Source organism: Homo sapiens, chromosome 5 (genome assembly GCF_000001405.40).
Source record: "Homo sapiens chromosome 5, GRCh38.p14 Primary Assembly".
Classification (NCBI taxonomy): domain Eukaryota; kingdom Metazoa; phylum Chordata; class Mammalia; order Primates; family Hominidae; genus Homo; species Homo sapiens.
The window spans coordinates 41,713,921-41,717,683 of record NC_000005.10 but is presented as its reverse complement, the minus strand read 5'-3'; the positions used below and the strand labels follow the sequence as shown (position 1 = coordinate 41,717,683).

Genomic DNA, 3,763 nt, shown 5'->3' with positions numbered 1-3,763 from the left:
TTCAGCATGTTAGCCAGGATGGTCTCAATCTCCTGACCTCGTGATCCGCCCGCCTCGGCCTCCCAAAGTGCTGGGATTACAGGCGTGAGCTACCACGCCCGGCCGTAAATTTCTTATCACAGTAAAAAGTGATCTCTCATGATTTATGTGGACATTTTTGTTGTGTTTCTTGCAATACCATAAACCTTAAATAATACTATGGGACTCATACAAAGTGCCACTAGTAGTGCTGGAAGTGCTCCCAAGAAGCATAGAAAAGTCATGGCATTACAAGAAAAGTTTGGGTCACTTGATACGTACCACAGATCGGGGTCTAAAGCTGTGATTGCCCACCATTTCAGGATAAATGAATCCAGTGTAAGGACCACTGTCAAAAAATAAAAAAGGAAGGAAATTCATGAAGCTGTTGCTGCAGCTATGCTAGCAGGCACAAAATCCTTGCCCTTGTTGTGAAGTGCCTATTTATCTTGTATTATCTTGTATCTGTATTGAAAATGCAGCTTTATATGGGTGCAGGGTTGCATTATAGGAAAGGCATACATATAAACTCTAATATGATTTGAGAAAAAGCAAAGTCATTATATGTGACAACTTAAAGCAAAAAGAAGATGAAGGATCTAAAGCTGGAAAATTTAATGCCAGCAAAGGATGGTTTGATAATTTTAGAAAGAGGTTTGACTTTTAAAATGTCAAGATAACAGGAGGAGCTTCTGCTGACCAACAGACAGCAGATGAGTTCTTAAATGCCATTAAGAAAATCATTGAGGGGAAAGGCTATCTGCCTGACCAAGTTCTTAATGCAGATGAAAGTGCCCTATTCCAGAAAATCCACAAAAGAAATTTATTAGTAAGGAAGAGAAGCGAGCACTGGGATTTAAAGCAGGAAGGGATAGGCTAATTCTACTGTTTTATGCAAGTTCAGTCAGGTTTATGATCAGGATTGCCGTTACCTATAAAACTGCTATCCGCTGAACCTTGAAGGTAAAAAAGAAAATAAACATTTTATCTGAGGAATATGAATCTCCTCTAAATTATCAGGCCTAGGGAGGCATAGGAATGAGACACCAACTGTGTCCAACTTCCCCCTTGAGCTACATAATCATTACTTGAAGCTGCATGCTATGTGGACTCTAGACTGACTGATGACACAAATAGCTATAAACTAACCTAACAATCCCACATACTGGACACCATAAATCATACCCTATGGTTAAAAAATGTACAACAGTCACTAATAAATGCTATTTTTGTGAACCCATGAAGAATTCCTGACAAACAACTTTGTATTAGCCCACTCCTTGTCTCCCTTGTTTGCCCTTAAAAACCTACTGTAACAAAGGCTACATGGAGCACATATCCAAGGTTGCTTGGGTGTGAGTCTTCTGGGAAGCTTGTCCCATTTTAGTTGAAGTTTGAAGTTGTATTTGTGCTTCGGTTTCCTTCTTTAGGCCAATAAAGGGAAAAGATAAGCACCTGCTTCCAGTCTTCTGATTATACAACAAGATAGCCTGGACAGCAGGATCCCCTTTTCTGGATTGGTTTCATCAATGTTTTGTCCTTGAAGTCAGGAAGTACCTTGCCAGTAAGGGACTGCCTTTTCCAGTTCTTTTGATATTGGACCATACCCCTGCTCATCCAGAGCCCTGTGAGTTTAATACTGAAGGTGTCAAAGTGGTCCACTTGCCTCCAAACACAACATCTTTAATTCATCCTCTAGATTGGGGTCATAGGAACCCTTAAGGCTCATTATACATGCTACTCTATGGAAAAGATTGTCAATGCTATGACAGAGAAACCTGATAGTTAGAATGTTACATAAGTCTAACAGGATTACACCATTGATTATGCCATCCTTGTTATAGAAAAATCCATGAAAACCATCAAGCTCAAAATAATACATTCCTGCTGAAGAAAACTGTGTCTATATGTGCATGGCTTCACAGGATTTATAACAGAGCCAATCAAGAAAATCACGAAAGAAATTATAGATATGGCAAAAAAAGGTAGGGGGTGAAGTGTTTAAAGATTTTGTGAATCTTAGAGAAATTCAAGTGGTAATAGGCACCACAGCAGAGGAATTAACAGAATATGACTTGATAAAGATGAGTGCTTCTAAACCATGCCAAACTATGAAAAAGAAGACAGAAGAAGCAGTGCCAGAAAACAAATTGACATTAGAAAACTTGACAGAAGGATTCCAATTATTCAAAACTGCTTTTGACTTCTTTTATGACATGGACCCTTCTATGATACAGGCAATGAAAGTAATGCAAATAGTGGAAGAAGTATTGGTACTGTATAGAAATATTTTTAGAGAAAAGAAACAAGCAAAATGTCTGAAATTATGATGCATTTCCATTAAGTTCCACCAAGTGTGCCTGCCTCTCCTTCCTCCTCTCTACCTTCTCCATCTCTGCCACCTCTGCCACTCCTGAGATGGCAAGATCAATCCCTGCTCTTCTTCAGCCTACTCAATGTGAAGACCATGAGAATGAAAACCCTTTTGATGATCCACTTTCACTTAATGACTAATAAGTATAATTTATCTCCCTTGTGATTTTCTGAATAACATTTTCTTTTCTTTAGCTTATTGTAAGAATGCAGATATCATACACATAATATATAAAATATGTGTTACTAGACCGCTTATATTATTGGTAAGGCTTCCAGTCAACAGAAGGCTATTAGTAGTTAAGTATTTGAGGAGTCAAAAGTTATATGCAATTTTTTATTATACTTTAAGTTCTGGGATACATGTGCAGAATAGGCAGATTTGTTACATAGGTATACACGTGCCATGGTGGTTTGCTGCACCCATCAATCTGTCATCTACACCAGGTATTTCTCCCAATGCTATTCTTCCTCTAGCACCCCCACACCCTGACAGGCCCTGGTGTGTGATGTTCCCCTCCCTGAGTCCATGTGTTCACATTGTTCAACTCCCACTTATGAGTGAGAACTTGTGATGTTTGGTTTTCTGTTCCTGTGTTAGTTTGCTGAGAATGATGGTTTCCAGCTTCATCCATGTCCCTGCAAAGGATGTGAACTCATCCTTTTTTATGGCTGCATAGTATTCCATAGTGTATATATGCCACATTTTCTTTATCCAGTCTATCACTGATGGGCATTTGGGTTGGTTCCAAGTCTTTGCTATTGTGAATAGTGCTGCAATAAACATACATGTGCATGTGTCTTTATAGTAGCATGATTTATAATCTTTTGGGTATATACCCAGTAATGGGATTTCTGGGGTCAAAGAGTGATTGCATGAGGGGATGGCTTCCCTATCCCCCATGTTGGTCAAGGGTCAACTATAGTTCTCCTGAAGACTATACTTCAGAAGTACCCAATAGAAAGAAAAAGAAAATTCCTCTAAAAAGATCTCAGAAAGAGCTTCAAAGTAATGCCCCATTTTTTTACACACAGATGTCCCATATGTTGGAACCATTAGACACGGACATAGAAAAAGATAAATATATTCAAGAAAATAAATGATGAGGTGGATAATTTAACCAGAGAAATTCTAACATAATAAAGTCAAGAACCCAACATAGCCGAGCGCGGTAGCTCATGCTTCTAATCCCAGCACTTTGGGAGGCCGAGGCAGGCGGATCACCTGAGGTTGGGAGTTCGAGACCAGTCTGACAAACATGGAGAAACCCCATCTCTGCTAAAAATACAAAAAAAAATTAGCCGGGCATGGCGGCACATGTCTTAATCCTAGCTACCCAGGAGGCTGAGGCAGGAGGATTGCTTGAACCTG

General features: G+C 39.4%; 1 annotated feature.

Annotated features, from left to right (window-relative positions):
* Positions 1-185: a silencer, noted in NCBI's record as "fragment chr5:41717601-41717785 (GRCh37/hg19 assembly coordinates)". NCBI's record gives its function as "represses an EF-1alpha promoter that drives an FKBP-Casp9 reporter gene in an ReSE screen in K562 erythroleukemia cells {active_cell/tissue: K562}" and the evidence as "EXISTENCE:reporter gene assay evidence [ECO:0000049][PMID:32094911]".